Consider the following 21,924-nt stretch of genomic DNA (forward strand, 5'->3'; position numbering starts at 1 on the left):
AAATTAGCCAGGCATAGTGGCAGGTGCCTGTAATCCCAGCCACTCGGGAGGCTGAGGCAAAAGAATCACTTAAACCTGGGAGGTGGAAGTTGCAGTGAGCCAAGATCGTGCCATTGCATTCCAGCCTAGGCAACAAGAGTGAAACTCTGTCTCAAAAAAAAAAAAAAAAGAAGAGGAAACTTCATAGCATTAAATGCCTATATCAAAAAGTCTGAAAGAGGACAAAAAGACAATCTAAGGTCACACCTCAAGGAACTTGAGAAACAAGAACAAACTAAACCCAAACCCAGCAGAAGAAAAGAAAAAGAAATAACCAAGATCAGAGCAGAACTAAATGAAACTAAAACTAACAAACAACAAAAAAAAAAGATAAATGAACAAAAAGCTGGTTCTTTGAAATGATAAACAAAATTGATAGACCATTATCAAGATTAACCAAGAAAAAAAGAGAGGGCTGGGCTTGGTGGCTCATGCCTATAATCCCAGTACTTCGGGAGGCCGAGGCAGGCAGATCACCTGAGGTTGGGAGTTCGAGATCAGTGACTAACATGGAGCAAACCCGTCTCTACTAAAAATACAAAATTAGCCGGGCGTGGTGGTGCATGCCTGTAATCCCAGCTACTTGGAGGGCTGAGACAGGAGAATCGCTTGAACCTGGGAGGCAGAGGTTGCAGTGAGCCAAGATTGTGCCATTGCACTCTGGCCTGGGCAACAAGAGTGAAACTGTGTATTAAAAAAAAAAAAAAAAAGAAAAGATCCAAATAAGCTCAATTAGAAACAAAACGAGAGATATTACAATCAATAATACAGAAATACAAAAGATCATTCAAGGTTCCCATGAACAACTTAACACACACAAGCTAGAAAACCTAGAGGAGATGGATAAGTTTCTAGAAATATACAACCCTCCTAGATTAAACAAGAAAGAAATGGAAACTCTGAACAGACCAATAACAAGCAGTGAGAATGAAACAGTAATTTAAAAATTGCCAGCAAAAAAATGTCCAGGACCAGATGGATTCACAGCTGAATTCTATCAGACATTCAAAGAAGAACTGGTACCAATCCTATTGACACTATTCCAAAAGATAGAGAAAGAGGGAATCCTCCCTAAATCATGCTATGAAGCCAGTATCACCCAATACCAAAACAAGGAAAGGACATAACACCAACAACAAAAAAAAACAGACCAATATCTCTGAAGAATATAGATGCAAAAATCCTCAACAAAATACTAGCTAATCGAATCCAACAGCATATCAAAAAGATAATCCACCATGAACAAGTGGGTTTCATACCAGGAATGCAAGGATACTTTAACACACACAAGTCAATAAATATGTTACACCACATGAACAGAACTAAAAACAAAAATCATATGATCATCTCAACAGACACAGAAAAAGTGTTTGACAAAATCCAGCATCCTTTATGATTAAAACCCTCAGCAAAACTGCCGTAGAAGGGACATACCTCAAGGGAATAAAACCTATCTATGACAAATGCACAGACAACATATACTGAATAAGGAAAACTTGAAAGCATTCTTCCTGAAAACTGGAACGAGACAAGGATGACCACTCCCACCACTTCTGTTCAACATAGTACTACTGAAGTCCTAGTCAGAGCAATCAAACGAGAAAAAAATAAAGGGCATCCAAATCCGTAAAGAGGAAGTTGAACTGTCATTGTTCGCCAACGATATTTTATCCCTAGAAAACCCTAAAGACACACCCAAAATGCTCCCAGATCTGATAAGTTAATTTGGTAAAGTTTCAGAATACAAAATCAATGTACACAAATCAGTAGCACTGCTATACACCAACAACAACCAAGCTGAGAATCAAATCAATAACTCAACCCCTTTTACAATAGCTGAAAATAAATAGAATACTTAAAAATATACCTAACCAAGGAGGTGAAAGATCTCTACAAGAAAAACTACAAAACATTGCTGAAAGAAATCATAGATGACACAAACAAATGGAAACACATTCCATGCTCATGGACAGGTAGAATCAATATTGTGAAAATGACCATGCTGCCAAAAGCAATCTACAAGTTCAACGCAATGCCCATCAAAATACCATCATTTTTTTCACAGAACTAGAAAAAAAAATCCTAAAACTCATATGGAACCAAAAAAGAGCCCACATAACAAAAGCAAGACTAAGTAGAAAGAACAAATCTGGAGGCATCACATTACCCAACTTCAAACTATACTACAAGGAGATAGTTACCAAAACAGCATAGTACTGATATAAAAACAGGCACACAGACCAATAGAACAGAATAGAGAACTAAGACTAAGTAAAAAGAACAAATCTGGAGGCATCACATTACCCAACTTCAAACTATACTACAAGACTATAGTTACCAAAACAGCATAGTACTGGCATAAAAATAGGCACATAGACCAATGGAACAGAATAGAGAACCCAGAAAGAAAGCCAAATATTTACAGCCAACTGACCTTCAACTAAGCAAACAAAAGCATAAAGTGGAGAAAGGCCACCCTATTCAACAAATAGTGCTGGGATAATTGGCAAGCCACATGTAGAAGAATGAAACTGGATCCTCATTTCTCATCTTATACAAAAATCAACTCAAGATGGATCTAAGACTTAAATCTAAGACCTGAAACCATAAATATTCTAGAAGATAACATCAGAAAAACCCTTCCAGTCATTGGCTTAAGCAAAGACTTCATGACCAGGAACCCAAAAGCAAATGCAATGAAAACAAAGATAAATAGATGGGACCTAACTAAACTAAAAAGCTTCTGCACAGCAGAAGAAATAATCAGCAGAGTAAATGGAAAACCCAAAAAGTGGGAGAAAATCTTCACAAACTATGAATCCAACGAAGGACTAATATCCAGAATCTACAAGGAATTCAAACAAATCAGCAAGAAAAAAACAAAAAATCCTATCAAAAAGTGGGTAAGGACATGAAAAGGCAATCCTCAAAAGAAGATATACAAATGGACAACAAACATATGAAAAAGTGCTCAACATGACTAATCATCAGAGAAATGCAAATCAAAACCACAATGCGATACCACCTTACTCCTGCAAGAATTGCCATAATCAAAAAATCAAAAAATACTAAGTGTTGGCATGGATGTTGTGAACAGGGAACAGTTCTACCCTGCTGGTTGGAATGTAAACTAGTACAACCACTATAGAAAACAGTGTGGAGATTCCTTAAAGAACAAAAAGTAGATCTACCAGTTGATCCAGCAATCCCACTACTGGATGTCTACCCAGAGAAATAGAAGTCATTATATGAAAAAGACACATGCATACACATGTTTACAGCAGTACAATTCACAATTGCAAAAATATGGAACCAGCCCAAATGCCCATCAACGAACAAGTGGATAAAGAAAATGTAATACTGTCCAGTCATAAAAGGAAATGAAATAATGGCATTCACAGCAACCTGAATGGAGCTGGAGACCATTATTCTAAGTGAAGTAACTCAGAAATGAAAAACCAAACATTATATGTTCTCACTTACAAGTGGGAGCTAAACTATGAGGACACAAAGGCATAAGAATGATATAATGGACCTTGGGGACTCAGGGGGAGGGTTGGGATGGGGGTGAAGGATAAAAGACTGCACATTGGGTACAGTGTATACTGCTTGGGTGACAGATGCACCAAAATCTCAGCAATCACCACTAAAGAACTTACACATGTAACCAAAAACCACCTGTTCCCTAAATATTATTAAAATTTTAAAAATTAGACATTTGGTCTAAATTAGACAGGTAAGATACTACTGTCCTTACTAGATGCTTTAAAGTCATAAACTGCTTCTATGGCTTTTGATAATTGTTCAACTTGCTTGCTTTAGAGCCATTGGATTCTAGGTAAGGCCTAGAGACATTTGGAGTTAGCCATATCCCCTAGCTATGCTAGAAAGAGTCCGACATTATCTGTGGTTCTGCCCTGTATCCTACACTCTACACCTGATACATAATTAAAATTACTTACACTAAAAATAAAAATCATGCATTTTTAGTAGAAAGGTATGGAAATTATAGTTTCTTCTAAGAGAAAGTAATTCTGTCTAATTTAGAGGGTTTAAGCATTGTTTTAAGATAGAAAAGAATAAAACTGAAAGTTTAAGCAAGGTGTAGGAGGTTTGTAAAAGATTAATCTTACAAAGAAAAATTTGTGTGTGAGCAAGACGACTAAAATTAAAATGGCATCATTTAGTTTTTCCATAAATTAAACATTAGCACTGATGCAGGGCCAGAACCTGAGCCCATGTGTCAGAATAACAGAGTTCTCTTGGAGCATTGATCTGCTCTTTAACAGAAAATTGTAAAAGGTTATAAAAGGTTTATTAAAGTCTTCTTTTATGATTAAACTTGTTTAAATTAGATTTACATATAAAATTTTATTAAAATTAGCTTTAGCATTACTATATTACTGCAAAGAAAAAAGTTTGGTTTACCTTTGATCAAGATTTCTGCTTGCCTACAGGAAAAGGGGACAGAGAAGAGACAGATTCAGCTGGCCTCAAACTGTCTTTATTGGGTCTTGTTATTTGGAAAGCTGTCTCCTCTCTATAAAATAATAAAGGATTTTTGCTTTTTTGAAATCTTTGAGTTAATCACTTTGGCTAAATAAATAAACTGTGGTCTTAATTTTGTGATATCAAGTGTTTTAAACCTTTGATATGTGACAAACTTTCCAAAATCAAATTCTAAATTAGCTTTTTTTAACCTGATTAACCCTGTTAGATATTAGTTCCCCTAGAATCCAAAAGAAACATATTCAGTTTAATATAATTAATTTAATTTAAATCACATGGAAAACATTGTCAAGTATAAAATAGTGCTTAATTTTATTTGGGTTATATCCATATAAATGTGTTATTAATATAGTTTTCAAAATTGTAATTCTGTCAATATATTATCAGTAATAATTATTATCATTATGTGCCACTGGCATAACCAAATTTACTTGTCAATTGTGTCTTTAACTGTGACTGTCCTAAGACTTTTGTCATCCACAGACAATTGTCCTGTTTGATCCTTTTCAGAGGATGGTTTATAATTAGCTATAGGACTCTGACAGGCACTCTTGAATGCAGGCCTCTGATAACTTTGGTGACTGGGCCATTAGAATAGAGAAAAAATCTTCCAAGATTCTCTTGGAGAGCTACTATGTTCAAAAATATCAAGCAGAAAAGGAGTTAATTGCATGGACTGAACCAATACAACATTAAAATAATCTTTCTATGACTTTTTGCTTGAAACTTTGCTGATCCTTTGGTTTTTCAGTCAAGAAAACTTGTTTTTTCTTTTGAGCTATTTACAGCTTTTAACAATGAAGTATACTCCTGTGAGCAAAATTTGGAGAATGTTTCTTTCTCTCTACCTGGTTTCTCCAGAATTTGGAAACTATTTGTGAGTATTCTTAAATTATGGCAATATAGTCATTTGCATAAGTACAATAAGAATCTGTTTTATAGGAGCACAGTTGGAGACGCTGGTTACTTTACCAAGGCTTTGACTGAAATGGCATTCTTTTAAATAGAAACAGACTGCTTTAAGGAATCAGAGGTGATTTATAGAGCCAATAAAATCCCTTGAAAAAACTGGTCCTCACATACCTTCTCTACCCAGTCCCTGTACAGGAGTCCTAACCTGTGGTAAGTAAAGAATGCCACTTTCTAACAAGCCCAGGAGCCCCAAGTTAACTTTGGACCTCCATAGGAGAGGAATTCATCCAATTCATACAGGTATTTGCAGGCACAAATAAATCCATGGATGGGTTCAAGGCTTTAGAAGGTCTAATCTGAGACTCCTTATGGAAAAAGTTCTAAGAATGCCAATTTGAAAGAGAGCTTATATGACAAATAATTATTCTTGTTGCATTTTATATAACTAATCAGGCCAAATATAAGACTAAAACTTATTTTTGCAAACAAATTGGTTCTACCATGATTTGTCTTGGATAAAAATGAGAGAATGGAGAAAGATTATAATACACCTATTGTTAGATTCTAGTCTTGTCTCGTTTTTGAGGTTTTTTTTAATATGTATTATTTTCTACAGTTTGGACTGAATCTTAAATCTTTTCTGGATTACAAGTCTTCAAACTAACATTTTCAAAATATCACCCATTTTTCTGACTAAAGCTCAATAGAATTGCTACTACCTCTTTCCTGAGGCCCTATAGGCTAAAACGTATTTCTTACGATACAGGCAAGAAGAAAATGTCAAACAGCCACCGTCCTCCTCTTCTGTAACTAAGACGTTTTGAGTTTAACGTCTGGATAGACTGTTAAAGAATGGAGCTCTCCATTCTTTAACAATAAAATTTCTACCATTAACATTTGTTTTTCTTGTTTCCATAGAAATGCCTCTTACTAAAAGTCTGTTTGCCTTACATTTCAGACAACAGGAGATTCATTTTCCAGCCTATTTACTTAAATTCCCAATGGTATCTGATCTTCTTTTTATTTTTAGACAGGGCTCTGGCTCTGTTGCCCAGGCTAGAGGGCAGTGGCACCATAGGGCTCACTGCAGCCTTGACCTCCTGGGCTCAGGTGATCCTCCCACCTCAGCTTCCTGAGGAGCTTCCTGAGGGGAAGAAGTGCTGAACAATTGCTTTACAGCCTTTTTGCCACAGGCCAGACCACCAAGTGGCCCATTACCCAAGATAACCATTGCAACCAGATAATGCTGACCTGCACACCCTGTCCCTCTTTGATTTGCCCAACTCAGCCTGCATACCCTGCCCCTGATATCAATTCCCATACTTTGCCCAAGAAAAAAGCCCTATTGGCTCTTTTTGGAGAGTCAGTCAGGGAATTTTTTCACTCTTTCTCATGCTGCCTCCCTTATATTTGGGCAAAAGCTCCAATGAAGGCTTGTCTGGGAAAACTCTTTTAGCCTCATGTCAATTTCTATTACACTGAGAGCCCCCAGAACTTATAGTTGGTAACACCTCTATAGGATACTTACACAGTACATTACACATTCTAAACACAGAGTAAGTATTTGTTAAGGTTGTTATTGTCTAATTCATTTCTTAAAGTCACTGTACACTTTATACTCTATAGTGTACAGTACAGGAGTAGTGTACAGGGCAGTGTACAGTACAGGAGTAGTGTACAGGGCAGTGTACAGTACAGGAGTCCATCTACCTCCTTTGTTCAACTGCATTGTAAAAGGGAGTGCCTATTCCATACTCCAACAAATTCATATACCCCCAGTAGCTCCCAGTTCTTATACTTGAGCCATTATTTCCTTCACCAACATAAAGCTGATTCTTTTTCAAAACAAAAACAGAAAAAGTAAAAAAAAAAAAAAAGAAGAAAAAGAAAGCAAATTGATTTCATGCAAATTGTCCTAATTTTATCCAGAGAGTTCCAAATCCCCTGTTGCTTTAAGGCTTTCTAAGGGGCAAGAGTCAAAACAGAAAATGGAAGAAGAGATCACATTTTCCCTGAAAAACAAAGCCATACTCCCTACCCCCATCCAAAGCCTCTGTTGCCCTCAGGCCTAAAGAATCCAAGGGACTAAAAGCTTCAGAGACCACCTGCTATGCTGAAGCAGGCCTGACAACTTCCAACCACAGACAGTTGGAAATCAAGTTGTGTGGCATTTAAAGTAAGCACCTTATTTCTATGGCAGATGTTTTTGTCAAAAAAAAAAAATCCATCCTATAAACAAAAATAGAACTCTGTGTGGTAAGGAAAATGCCTGGGAGAATCCCCTCAGGTTTACTTTTCAAAAATCATTTGTCCTCATCCAAACCTTTGTCCTAATATCATAAGCTTCCTTTAAAAAAATTAAATAACATAAACATTGCTGAGTAACTAAGTGTTCATCACAGCCTATTTATGGCATTTTGATTGGAGTTGTTATCCCAAATCAGTGTACTACAGATTTCAAAATCGTTTTTAAAAAATAGTAGAAAAATCTAAATATGGAAGATGAAAAACACTGAAAACTTCTTATAATCAAAGTATGCATAGATAATAAGAGCAGATGTGTTACAACATTTTCTAAATAGTCAATCCCAAAAAAGAAAAAAAGGCCAGCATTAAACTATAACCCTCTGCATAAAAGATTTATTAAGTCTGAATTCAGAAATAGTTACACATACTAACGTATGCACGTACATCTGCCACACACTTCCTGAGCAGCACCAGGTAGACCATACAACAAGAATAAGCAAGGCTGAGATTACCCTATGATTGGTGTGGTTTTTCAAGTAAAGCATGGGAAGTGTACAATAATTGACAAGGAACAGGAAAAAATGTCATGGAGAACAAGGTAGTGTCAGGGATGGATTGAAAGAGAAGAGTAAAAATTGTATCACACAATGGTGGCAGGGACATGAAGACACAACTGAAAGCAAAACTTTTGAGGGTAAAGAAGACAGCCATCAAGAAAGAACCAAAGTAAGAAAGAGCTGCAACCGTGGGGAAAGTGGGAGTTGTATAAGAAAGATGATGACCCACCGCAGCTCAGCAAGGCCACTGCGGCCAGACTGCCTCTCCAGATTCCTCCTCTCTGGGCAGGCCATCTCTGAAAAAAAGGCAGTAGCCCCAGTCAGGGACTTACAGATAAAAGCCCCATCTCCCTGGGACAGAGCACCTGGGGGAAGGGGCAGCTGTGGGCGCAGCTTCAGCAGACTTAAACGTCCCTACCTGACAGCCCTGAAGAGAGCAGCAGATCTCCCAGCACAGTGTTTGAACTCTGATAAGGGACAGACTGCCTCCTCAAGTGGGTCCCTGACCCCCATGTATCCTGACTGGAAGACACCTCCCAGTAGGGGCTGACAGACAACTCATACAGGATAGCCCTGGCTCGCATCTGGCGGGTGCCCCTCTGGGACAAAGCTTCCAGAGGAAGGAACAGGCTGCAATCTTTGCTGTTCTGCAGCCTCCACTGGTGATACCCAGGCAACAGGGTCTGGAGTGGACCTCCAGCAAACTCCAGCAGACCTGCAGCAGAGGGGCCTGACTGTTAGAAGGAAAACTAACAAACAGAAAGGAATAGTATGAACATCAACAAAAAGGACATCCACTCAGAGACCCCATCCGAAGGTCACTAACATCAAAGACTAAAGGTAGATAAATACATGAACAGGGGGAGAAACCAGCGCAAAACGACTGAAAATTCCAAAAACCAAAATGCCTCTTCTCCAAAGGATCACAACTCCTCACCAGCAAGGGAACAAAACTGGATGGAGAATGAGTTTGACGAATTGACAGAAGTAGGCTTCAGAAGGTGAGTAATAACAAACCCCTCCAAGCTAAAGGAGCATGTTCTAAATCAATGCAAGGAAGCTAAGAACCTTGAAAAAAGGTTAGACGAATTGCTAACTAGAATAATCAGTTTAAAGAAGAACACAAATTACCTGATTGAGCTGAAAAACACAGCACAAGAACTTCGTGAAGCATACACAAGTATCAATAGCCGAATCGATAAAGCAGAAGAAAGGATATCAGAGATTGAAGATCAACTCAATGAAATAAAGCAAGAAGACAAGATTAGAGAAAAAAGAGTGAAAAGAAACAAACAAAGCCTCCAAGAAATACGGGACTATGTAAAAAGACCAAATCTATGTTTGATTGGTGTATCTGAAAGTGACGGGGAGAATGGAACCAAGTTGGAAAACAATCCTCAGGATATTATCCAGGAGAACCTCCCCAAACTAGCAAGACAGGCCAGCATTCAAATTCAGGAAATACAGAGAACACCACAAAGATAATCCTCAAGAAGAACAACCCAAAGACACATAATCGTCAGATTCACCAAGGTTGAAATGAAGCAAAAAATGTTAAGGGCAGCCAGAGAGAAAAGTCAGGTTACCCACAAAGGGAAGCCCATCAGACTGACAGCAGATCTCTCTGCAGAAACCCTACAAGACAGAACAGAGTGGGGGCCAATATTCAACATTCCTAAAAAAAGAATTTTCAATCCAGAATTTCCAATCCAGCCAAACTAAGCTTCATAAGCAAAAGAGAAATAAAATCCTTTACAGACAAGCAAATGCTGAGAGATTTTGTCACCACCAGGCCTGTCTTACAAGAGCTCCTGAAGGAAACACTAGACATGGAAAAGAACAACCAGTACCAGCCACTGCAAAAACATACCACATGGTAAACACCATCAACACTATTAAGAAACTGCATCAACTAACGGGCAAAATAAACAGCTAGCATTATGATGACAGGATCAAATTCACACATAACAATATTAACCTTAAATGTAAATGGGCTAAATGCCCCCAGTTAAAGACACAGACTGGCAAATTGGATACTGAGTCAAGACCCATTGGTGTGCTGTATTCAGGAGACCCATCTCACATGCAAAAGACACACATAGGCTCAAAATAAAGAAATGGAGGAATATTTTCCAAGCAAATGGAAAGCAAAAAAAAAAAAGCAGGGGTTGCAATCCTAGTCTTCAATAAAACAGACTTTAAACCAACAAAGATCAAAAGAGACAAGGGCATTACATAATGGTAAAGGGATCAATGCAACAAGAAGAGCTATCTATCCTAAATATATATGCACTCAACACAGGAGCACTCAGATTCATAAAGCAAGTTCTTATAGACCTACAAAGAGACTTACACTCCCACAGAATAACAGTGGGAGACTTTAACACCTCACTGTCAATATTAGACAGATCAATGACACAGAAAATAAACAAGTGTATCCAGGGCGTGAACTCAGCTCTGGAACCAGCAGACCTAATAGACATCTACAGAACTCTCCACCCCAAATCGACAGAATATATATTCTTCTCAGGAACACATCGCACTTATTCTAAAATTGACCATATAATTGGAAGTAAAACACTCTTCAGCAAATGCAAAAGAACAGAAATCAAAACAAACAGTCTCTCAGACCACAGTGCAATCAAATTAGAACTCAGGATTAAGAAACTCCCTCAAAACCACACAACTACATGGAAACTGAATCCTGAATGACTACTGGGTAAATAACAAAATTAAGGGAAAAATAAATATGTTCTTTGAAACCAATGAGAACAAAGACAAAACATACCAGAATCTCTGGGACACATTTAAAGCAGTGTGTAGAGGGAAATTTACAGCATGAAATGCCTACAAGAGAAAGCAAGAAAGATCTAAAATCGATACCCTAACATCACAATTAAAAGAACTAGAGAAGCAAGAGCAAACAAATTCAAAAGCTAGCAGAAGACAAGAAATAACTAAGATTAGAGCAGAACTGAAGGAGATAGAGACATGAAAAACCCTTCAAAAAAAACCAATGAATCCAGGAGCTGGTTTTTTGAAAAGATGAACACAATAGATAGACCACTAGCCAGACTAATAAAGAAGAAAAGAAAGAAGAATCAAATAGACGTAATAAAAAATGATAAAGGGGAGATCACCAACAATCCCACAGAAATACAAACTACATCAGAGAATACTATGAACACCTCTATGCAAATAAACTAGAAAATCTAGAAGAAATGGATAAATTCCAGGACACATACACCCTCACAAGACTAAACCAGGAAGAAGGCGATTCCCTGAATAGACCACTAACAAGTTCTGAAATTGAGGCAGTAATTAATAGCCTAAAAATATCCGAGGACCAGACAGATTCACAGTCGAATTCTACCAGAGGTACAAAGAGGAGCTGGTACCATTCCTTCTGAAACTATTCCAAACAATAGAAAAAGAGCGAATCCTCCCTAACTCATTTTACGAGGCCAGCATTATCCTGATACCAAAACCTGGCAGAGACACAACAAAAAAAGAAAATTTCAGGCCCATATCCCTGATGAACATTGATGCGAACACCTTCAATAAAATACTGGCAAACCGAATCCAACAGCACATCAAAAAGCTTATCCACTACAATCAAGACAGCTTCATCCCTGGGATGCAAGGCTGGTTCAACATACGCAAATCAATAAATGTAATCCATCACATAAACAGAACCAATGACAAAAACGACATGATTATCTCAACAGATGCAGAAAAGGCCTTTGACAAAATTCAACAGCACTTCATGCTAAAAACTCTCAATAAACTAGGTATTGATGGGACGTAGCTCAAAATAATAAGAGCTACTTATGACAAACCCACAGCTAATATCATACTGAATGGGCAAAAACTGGAAGCATTCCCTTTGAAAACCAGCAAAAGACAAGGATGCCCTCTCTCACCACTCCTATTCAACATAGTATTGGAAGTTCTGGCCAGGGCAATCAGGCAGGAGAAAGAAATAAAGGGTATCAATTAGGAAAAGAGGGAGTCAAATTGTCTCTGTTTGCAGATGACATGATTATATATTTAGAAAACCCCATTGTCTCAGCCCAAAATCTCCTTAAGCTGATAAACAACTTCAGCAAAGTCTCAGGATACAAAATCAATGTGCAAAAATCACAAGCATTCCTATACACGAATAACAGAGAGCCAAACCATGAGTGAACTCCCATTCACAATTGCTACAAGGAGAATAAAATACCTAGAAATACAACTTACAAGGGATGTGAAGGACCTCTTCAAGGAGAACTACAAACCACCGCTCAAGGAAATAAGACAGGATACAAACAAATGGAAAAACATTCCATGCTCACGGATAGGAAGAATCAATATCGTGAAAATGGCCATACTGCCCAAAGTAATTTATAGATTCAATGCTCTCCCCATCAAGCTACCACTGACTTTCTTCACAGAATTGGAAAAAAACTACCTTAAATTTCATATGGAACAACAAAAGAGCCTGCATAGCTAAGACAATCCTAAAAAAAAGAACAAAGCTGGAGGCATCATGGTACCTGACTTCAAACTATACTGCAAGCCTACAGTAACCAAAACAACATGGTACTGGTACCAAAACAGATATATAGACCAATGGAACAGAATAGAGACCTCAGAAATAACACCGCATATCTACAACCATCTGATCTTTGACAAACCTGACAAAAACAAACAATGGGGAAAGGATTCCTTATTTAATAAGTGGTGTTGGGAAAATTGGCTAGCCATAAGCAGAATGCTGAAATTGGATCCCTACCTTACATTTTATACAAAAATTAACTCAAGATGGATTAAAGACTTAAACGTAAGATCTAAAACCATAAAAACGCTAGAAAAAAACCTAGGCAATAACATCCAGGACATAGGCATGGGCAAAGACTTCATGACTAAAACACCAAAAGCAATGACAACAAAAGCCAAAATTGACAAATGAGATCTAATTAAACAAAAGAGCTTCTACACAGCAAAAGAAACTATCATCAGAATGAACAAGCAACCTAAAGAATGAGAGAAAATTTTTGCAACCTATCCATCTGACAAAGAATCTACAAAGAATTTAAACAAATTTACAAGAAAAAAACAACCCCATCAAAAAGTGGGCAAAGGATATTAACAGACACTTCTCAAAAGAAGACATTTATGCAGCCAAAAAGCATGAAAAAAAGCTCATCATCACTGGTCATTAGAGAAATGCAAATCAAGACCACAATGGGATACCATCTCATGCCAGTTAGAATGGCGATCATTAAAAAACAGATCAGGAAACAACAGATGCTGGAGAGGATGTGGAGAAATAGGAATGCTTTTACACTGTTGGTGGGAGTGTAAATTGGTTCAACCATTGTGGAAGACAGTGTGGTGATTCCTCAAGGATCTAGAACTAGAAATACCATTTGACCCAGCAATTCCATTACTGGGTATATACCCAAAGGATTATAAATCATTCTACTATAGATACATGAACATGTATGCTTACTGTGGCACTTTTCACAATAGCAAAGACTTGGAACCAACCCAAATGCCCATCAGTGATAGACTGGATAAAGAAAATGTGGCACATATACAGCATGGAATACTATGCAGCCATAAAAAGGATGAGTTCATGTTGTTTGCAGGGACATGGATGAAGCTGGAAACCATCATTCTCAGCAAACTAACACAGGAACAGAAAACCAAACACTGCATGTTCTCATTCGTAAGTGGGAGCTGAACAATGAGAACACATGGACACAGTGGGGTGGGGGCATCACAAAAAAAAAAAAGAAAGATGATTAATATCTGACAGCCACCTCAGAAGCCCCCAATGTCAGAAACACAGGACACTGGAAGGGTGTCTCATTGACACTGGTAGGTCAATGAAATAAGACACATATTTCAATTTCAATCACTATAGTCTATACAATTTTAAACACATAAGTACTGCCATATAACTAACTCGGTCCTCCTAGAAGCCATTCCAGAGTAGAATTTCACACTTCCTCTAATGTGGGAAAAGACAGAAATCCTAACGGAAAAAGATGGTAAGTGGCTGGGCGCTGTGGCTCATGCCTGTAACCCCAGCCCTTTGGGAGGCCAAGGCGGGTGGTTCACGAGGTCAGGAGATCGAGACCATCCTGGCTAAAACGGTGAGACCCCATCTCTACTAAAAATACAAAAAATTAGCCGGGCGTGGTGGTGGGCGCCTGTAGTCCCAGCTACTCAGGAGGCTGAAGCAGGAGAATGGCATGAACCCGGGAGGCAGAGCTTGCAGTGAGCCGAGATCGTGCCACTGCACTCCAGCCTGGGCCACAGAGCGAGACTCCGTCTCAAAAAAAAAAAAAAAAAAAAAAAAAAAAAAAGGAAAAAGATGATAAGTTTAACTACTTGCAAAAATATCTATATAAACCATTCAAAACAATAGGCTAGGAGAACATATCTACAAGAATATCTAATAAATAAAGGTTTAATATCCCATTACATAAAGGGTTCCTGCAAGTCAATAAAAAAGACAATCCAATTAAAAAACAGCCAAAAGGAAATGAAAAGACAATTCACAGAAGTAACCAATAAACATGAGGAAGAAAATACCCTTACTCATGGTTAAAAACTTAAAAGTCAAAGTAAATAATGTCACATGATATGCAAAATTTTTCATGTTAAAAAGCCATTGTGGATGAAGTTAGGAGGCTAATACCAAGATTATGAATTAGCGACGTTATTTGAATCAACTTGGCAATATCTATCTAAATTTAAAACAAACATGCATTTTGACCTTGCAAGCATAATACCAAGGATTTGTCCTGCAGAGATACTGACATAATGAAGCAAAGATATCCACACAGTTAATTACAGATACATAGCTGTTCACTGCCACCCTGTTTGTAATGGTTTAAAAACAAATTGAAGTAGGCCAGGTGTGGTGGCTCATGCCTGTAATCCCAGCACTTTGGGAGGCCGAGGCAGGCCGATCACGAGGTTAGGAGATCGAGACCATCCTGGCTAACATGGTGAAACCCCGTCTCTACCAAAAATACAAAAAAAAAATTAGCCCGGCGTGGTGGCGGGTGCCTGTAGTACCAACTACTTGGGAGGCTGAGGTGGGAGAATGGCATGAATCCGGGAGGCAGAGCTTGCAGTGAGCCGAGATTGTGCCACTGCACTTCAGATTGGACGACAGAGCAAGACTCCACCTCAAAAAAAAAAAAACAAATTGAAAAAAATCTAAATGTCCATGGGGCTCAATTAAATAAATGGTGGGTTAACCATATATTATGATGTGATTAAAAAGAATATCATAAATCTAATTTTGCCAAAAAAAGTTATCGGAGATTTTTTTTTTTTTTTTGAGACAGAATCTCACTCCATCGCCCAGGCTGGAGTGCAGTGGCACAATCTTGGCTCACTGCAACCTCCACCTCCTGAGTTCAAGTGATTCTCTTGCCTCAGCCTCCACAGTAGCTGGGATTACAGGCACCCACCACCACGCCTGGCTAATTTTGTAATTTTAGCAGAGGCAGGGTTTCGCCATGTTGGCCAGGTTGATCTCGAACTCCTGACCTCAAGTGATCCACCCCCTTCGGGCTCCCAAAATGCTGGGATTACAGGTGTGAGCCACCACTCCCGGGCTTAAGACACATTTTTATGTGAACAAAAAAGTTACAAAACTACAGATAGAACATGATTCTATTTGAGTTATTTCATGTATATACATAAATATACACTATATAAAAAGGGGTTCAGGGATACACCACCCCAAAGTATGGCACATTGACCTTTGAGGAAATATCAGAAGCAGGAATGACTCTCTGACCTCTCCCACCCTTCTCCCCTGAAGCAGGTCATAAAAGAATTACCTGACCTTCCTGTAACATAGGATGTAAGACTTTCATTCCAAAAGTGCCTTCCCTATGCCCAGGAAAAAAAAAAAAAAAAAAAAATCCTTATCCTCGAAGACACAGAGACACCAAGAGGAATCTGAGCAAACAAGCCTTGCTAAGTTCCCCTCAGCTTACCAATATTTGATCATATCCTTTTGCCATCCCATCATTCTTCTGCCCAACTGTACATAAAAATACACAGGTTTCCCCATGCTTTGGATCTTCACCTCTCTTTTTTTTTTTTTTTTTGAGTTGGGGGAGGGGCTTCTTCATTCTTAAGGCTCCTGTGTCACATAAAACTTACATTAAATAAATTTGTATGCTTTTCTCTTGTTAATTTGTATTTTGTTATAGGAGTCTCAGCTATGAACTTAGTGGTGGGTAAGGAAAGATATCTTTTCTCTTCTACAATAGGCTTGGAAATTTCTAGAATTTGTGGAAAGGAAATGGTATTTAAAGAGAAAGGGATGAGAGTAAATCCCACCTTAAAACCTTGTTGAGGCGTTTTCTTGTCTTTGCCATGAGCAAATATTGTTTTGAAAGTTTTAAAACATATATATGGGAGATGTTATATTCACTTTAAAATTCCATATAATTTGCAAGAGCTATCAAAATAAAATAATTGTCATTGCAACTCTGCCAACTGCAAGCCCAATAAAGCAAAAGAACACTGAACAACCTGGATTTAAATCCTGGAGTCACTTCTCAGTCACATTACCTTCTTTTCTACTTACTTAGTTAACTCTGAGCCAGTTTCTTCACATTTTAAGAGAATCGTGGTGAAGATTAAATGAAATAACATGTAAAGAGTGTCTTGCTCAATTTTGCATACACATTAGGCTTTCAACAAATACTAGTTTCTTTCCATTTTTTCTGAATGACATCAGAGCTCAGAAAATGCAGCGGCTCAAAGTAGTGGCAGATTCTCAGTTATCTGAAATTCTACAGCAGGACAATAAAACTGCTTCCAAATGTTGAAGGAATTTGCGTTTCTACACCATCCTAAGCAATGTGGCCTAATCCCATGGCATTAATTCCAATCCACACACAGATAACTCCAAATGTAAATCTCAAGCCCCATCCTTTGCCTTCAGTTCCAGACTTGCTCGTATAACTGCTGAAGATGACAAGCATTAATAAGATCTTAAACATCACATAAATCTTAAACCTGCTTTTCTTCAGCCTCTCCATCTCAGTAAATGGTTCCAGCATCCCCTAATTATTTAAAATCCAAACCAAAGATTCATGATTGTTTCCTTTCTCCATCCTTCACAGTCTTGACTCTCCATTTGCAATAACCCACATCTGCCATTTGTCTCCATCAATCTGGTGACCCCCTTTCTCAATGTCACAGCCAATATGGTATTTTTAAATGGTCAAGTAGACGTCTCAAATACTCCAGCAACCTCCCACTGGGAGCGTAATTAATCCCAAACTCCTCGCCAGGGGCCTGCATGGTCTCTTTCCAGCCTCTCCCTCCTGCCCTTCTTTCCAAAGATCACTAGACTCTGCACAGTTCCCCAGCACACTTTGCACTCGCTGTACTCGCTGTTTCTTTTCCCTGAAATACTTGCTTCTCAGCTATGTGTATGCCTTACTCCTTTTTTATATTCAGGTGAAGATTAAGTAATTTAAAGGGACAAGTCCTGTCCACCCAATCTAAAGCAGCCTCCTAGTTAACTACTATTAACAGTCATTTTCTTCATTTCCTGTCACTGTTCACTAAAATGTAAGCTCCGTAAGGACAGAAATGTTTTATCATCCCATGATTTTCTGTGCCTAGACGAATGCCTGCCACACAGCAGTAACTACATACATTTTTGTTCACTGGACTAATGAATTGGTGGTTCAACAAACAGATCTAAAGGAGATCCCCAACTCTTGTTGGTTGCCTTTTAAAAAATTAAAGAGTATTTTAAGAATAAAAGCAGAGACTGATTTGTGGTTATCTCAGAGCCAGTGAATTTTAGCATTTAAAGCTAAGATCTGATGAAGAGCCAACACAAATGGTAAAAAATGATAATGGTTAGCTTAGATTTTAATCGATTTGTGTTACTTGTGCTAATACCAAAGAACTTGATTTGAAAGTGTTTTATTAGATCAATCAGAATATAGTGGAGTCACCCAGCTGGCTGCAAACTTATCCAGTCAAAATATCTTCCAGAACTTCAAGTTTCAAAATAGATAAACTTCCTAAATCAGGTCTTTGGGCTGCCTGCAAGAGTCTGCCATATTTTAGGCTCCTCTAGTTTTCTGAGAATTAACCCTTCCTTTGGCATATACCGTCTACATTTTCTTCTTTCTGACTCCGGCACTGTAGTTAATCACACAAAGGTGAGGCTCTTAACACTAAATCTGTATATTTGTTTACATTATGAGAAACAGAGAAAAGACTTTATACAAAAATGGTGGCAACTATGATTGATTCTGGCTTAGAGGGTTAAGGATAATTCATATTCTTCTTTATTCTCTTCCCTGTTTTCCAATAAACAAGTAACATTTTACAAATAAATACAGTTTTTAAAAACTTCTTAAACTAGTACCTAATATCCTATGTACCCAAAAGGAATAAGAACTAAAAAAGAGACTTGAAAATTAAAAGACAGACACTAAACTTCTTTCATATGATTGAAGAAATTTTTGGAATTTAAGATATTCTTTTATGGCTCACCACAGAAACTACTTCTAATTTTTAATTTTTTAGGGAAAAATTTATTATTCTTAAAAGTTGTTTATCTAACCCTAAAATTCTGATCCAAATTTATTATTAAAAATCAAACTGGTCCACATTTAAGTCACCTTTGCCTGACTTACAGCCACAGCAATGCATTAAGGGAACAAAATTCTCGGTATTTTGGTAATTTCACAGGACCACGGCAGTAGACTCAGAGTAGATGCTTGACAAATAATAAAATACAAGCCTTAAATATGAGATGGCACTCTTGCATATTACTGATTATATTATTAATGCTAACATCACTAGGATCCTAGTGTAATGCTAGGATCATTGCCAAGTTTAAGTACACTGTGTTTAAATATGATGCATGCACTTGAAGCAGTAGAACCTCAATTCAACAAAAAGCACTGAGGCAGCATACTTGTCAACATCCGGGAGATGTAGGAGCTTTGCCTGGACTCCGGCTCTCCCAGACGTGGGTCACTACAACATTCAGTACAGGAATGAACAATGTATCGAACTGTTATCCTGTAAGGCTGCTTCCCTGAAGGATTGTTCACAGAGGAAAATTATGTCGCAATCTGCATGCTATTTTGAATTTTCATAACTGATTCAGCACTCCAATTGCTGATAAGTACCGTAATCAGAAATCTTTTTCCTCCCACAGAACAAGAACAATTCAAACATCAGAATTTATCCCCACAATCCAGATCTGAAAAATGAAAAAGCAACAACTAGACCTACATCTTCTTTAAATCTCAAAGAAACATTTGCTCTGTGCAAGACAGTGCTATTCTAATGATAGAGGAAACTTCTGATGAATAATGCAGAAGCACCTGTGGACATTTAGGCACTAGTGGCCATTTAAATGCTCTTTCCCTACGTGAACAAGTGACCACAAGAACTCCTTTTTTTTTTTTTTTTTGTCTTGAAGCACTTGACTCAGAAACATAAAAATAGTCAAGATTGGTTTAACTGAAATCACACTTCTGTGTGATCTGTATGCATCCTTTCTTTTGTTCCAGAAATGTGAGGATCCAAGGTTTTAAACCTAAGCCAGTCTGGCCAGCTTGACTCATCCAGGACATCTTTCAGTAGTTTCACAGTGGCCATCAGCTCTGTCAGACACCGGACATGGCTTGAAAGGGCCATGTCAGCAAGTGATCATTATTGTGTCTGAAAAGAGCTGTGCTTGATGGCTGAAATATTACAACTACCAAAAAGCTACAAGTGGAAACTCCATAGAATCAGCTCATTTGTAGTCACAGAATACTCTATTCCTACCCACTTTCACACACGCTACTCCCTATATCTCCATATCAAGAAAAAAGTCCTGTCTTCTTTAAGTCAATTACCATGCTTTAATCCAGAATTTGGAATTATTCAGGGAAACCAAATCAAGTATCTATTACCTTCTAGAGCCATCATCATATCCATGAACAAATCAGCTGTAAAGCGGTTTATCTTTGGGGATTAAATACTTTCCAGTCCAAAATGCAGTTTTTAAAATGCAATTTTTGCCTTCTCTTCTGTATTGAGATGACTAGGCCTATGTCAATTTAACTGTGTCTCTATAAAGTCATGCAAATGTAGGCACTTTAAAATGACTGCTCACAAAAAAATTGTTAAGAGCTCTGCTTAAAAATCTTGCAAATAAAAAAAACAGTTCCTCATACAATTTTTCTAAATGGTGGTGAGGGAGTGTTCTTAAAGTTATATCCTGATTTATGGAAATCTTTTATTAGTAAACTAAAGAGGATGGTCTGCACATGATCTGTAATATTATTATTATGAATGCTCATGGCAATTACATTAGAGAAGTAATCCTCATTTGAATTTCTGATATTAATAAAAAGCTCATTTCCAACTTGCCAAATTCCCAGGCTATGCTGATCTCCAAAGCCTATCCCACTTAGACACACACACACACATCAAAATTCTTTTCTGAAAAAGAAAAATCACTTTCCCTCCTACTACTAACATTGCCAATGAGGTCAGTGGTTGACCATAACGTATTTCCAGATTTTTCCCTTCCCTGAGTGTGAAGAACTCAAGTTTTTCTCTTTTTACCATGATAAATCCTATTGCAGGGGCTGGAGGTGAGACAGTCAGGAGACGTTTTAGATCATGAGGAGGGTCACCCTGGAGGGGAGAAAGGGGGCTACAGCTCCCATTGCTGAGGGCACCAAGACCTACCTACTTGTTAGATCCCCACCTTCTCAAATGTATCATAGTCCAAGCATGGAGATGCTCTAAGAGGCTATGCAGTTTCGAGGTCATAATCTTATTTTGATTATTGTATATCTGCTTCTGCACTGGTAATATGCTCCTTGAAACAGTTTAGTTTTCTTCAAAAAAAAAAAAACCTACTCTTTCCTGTTTCCTTCACTGTTTCTTTCAGCACTTATTATATAACATCACACACACACACACACACACACACACACACACACAAACATAAACACACCTACTTGCATTATTATTTCCGTCTCTCCTGCTGGAATGTAAGTTCCATGAGGGTAAGAATTTTTATATGCTTTTATTACTGCTATATCTCCCATACCTGCCAGTGTTTGGCAAGAGGTAAATGCTAAGTAGTTGATGAATAAATCAAAAGATAAATTATAGCAGAAACTCCATGGTGGGCCAGGTGCGCTGGCCCACGCCTATAATGCCAACACTTTGGGAGGTTGAGAGGGGGCAGATCACTTGAGGCCGGGAGTTCGAGATCAGCCTGGCCAACATGGCCAACCCCATCTCTACTAAACTACAAAAATTAGCCGGGTATGGTGGTGCATGCCTGTAATCCCAGCTACTCAGGAGGCTGAGGCACGAGAACCACTTGAAGCCAGTAGGCAGAGTTTGCAATGAGCCGCACCACTGCACTCCTCCCTCAGCAACAGAGCGAGACTCTGTCTCAAAAAACAAACAAACAAAACAACTCCATGGTGAAGCATTCCTGACTCCATCTTTTTTTTTAACTTAAAGGTATTATAGGCTGCAATCCACGTCTCCTCTAAATTCCTTTGAGTTGTTCTAACAGCATCAATAACTAAGCCTAAAGCAGACTCCCTACTGCTTACCATCCACGGGTGCCAAGAAAACT

General features: G+C 38.1%; 1 protein-coding gene across 19 annotated transcripts in view, besides 3 other annotated features; it reads right to left on the reverse strand.

Moving 5' to 3' along the window:
- PLCH1 (phospholipase C eta 1) overlaps positions 1 to 21,924 on the reverse strand; it is a 294,138-nt gene that overhangs the window by 161,243 nt on the left and 110,971 nt on the right. The window lies entirely within an intron of this gene.
- Positions 6,129 to 6,655: an enhancer, noted in NCBI's record as "H3K27ac hESC enhancer chr3:155336094-155336620 (GRCh37/hg19 assembly coordinates)". NCBI's record gives its function as "activates a minimal SCP1, AML or CMV promoter by ChIP-STARR-seq in naive H9 embryonic stem cells {active_cell/tissue: H9 hESC(naive)}" and the evidence as "EXISTENCE:reporter gene assay evidence [ECO:0000049][PMID:30033119]".
- Positions 6,656 to 7,180: an enhancer, noted in NCBI's record as "H3K27ac hESC enhancer chr3:155336621-155337145 (GRCh37/hg19 assembly coordinates)". NCBI's record gives its function as "activates a minimal SCP1, AML or CMV promoter by ChIP-STARR-seq in naive and primed H9 embryonic stem cells {active_cell/tissue: H9 hESC(naive and primed)}" and the evidence as "EXISTENCE:reporter gene assay evidence [ECO:0000049][PMID:30033119]".
- Positions 7,265 to 7,809: an enhancer, noted in NCBI's record as "NANOG hESC enhancer chr3:155337230-155337774 (GRCh37/hg19 assembly coordinates)". NCBI's record gives its function as "activates a minimal SCP1, AML or CMV promoter by ChIP-STARR-seq in naive H9 embryonic stem cells {active_cell/tissue: H9 hESC(naive)}" and the evidence as "EXISTENCE:reporter gene assay evidence [ECO:0000049][PMID:30033119]".

This window comes from Homo sapiens, chromosome 3 (genome assembly GCF_000001405.40).
Source record: "Homo sapiens chromosome 3, GRCh38.p14 Primary Assembly".
Taxonomy (NCBI): domain Eukaryota; kingdom Metazoa; phylum Chordata; class Mammalia; order Primates; family Hominidae; genus Homo; species Homo sapiens.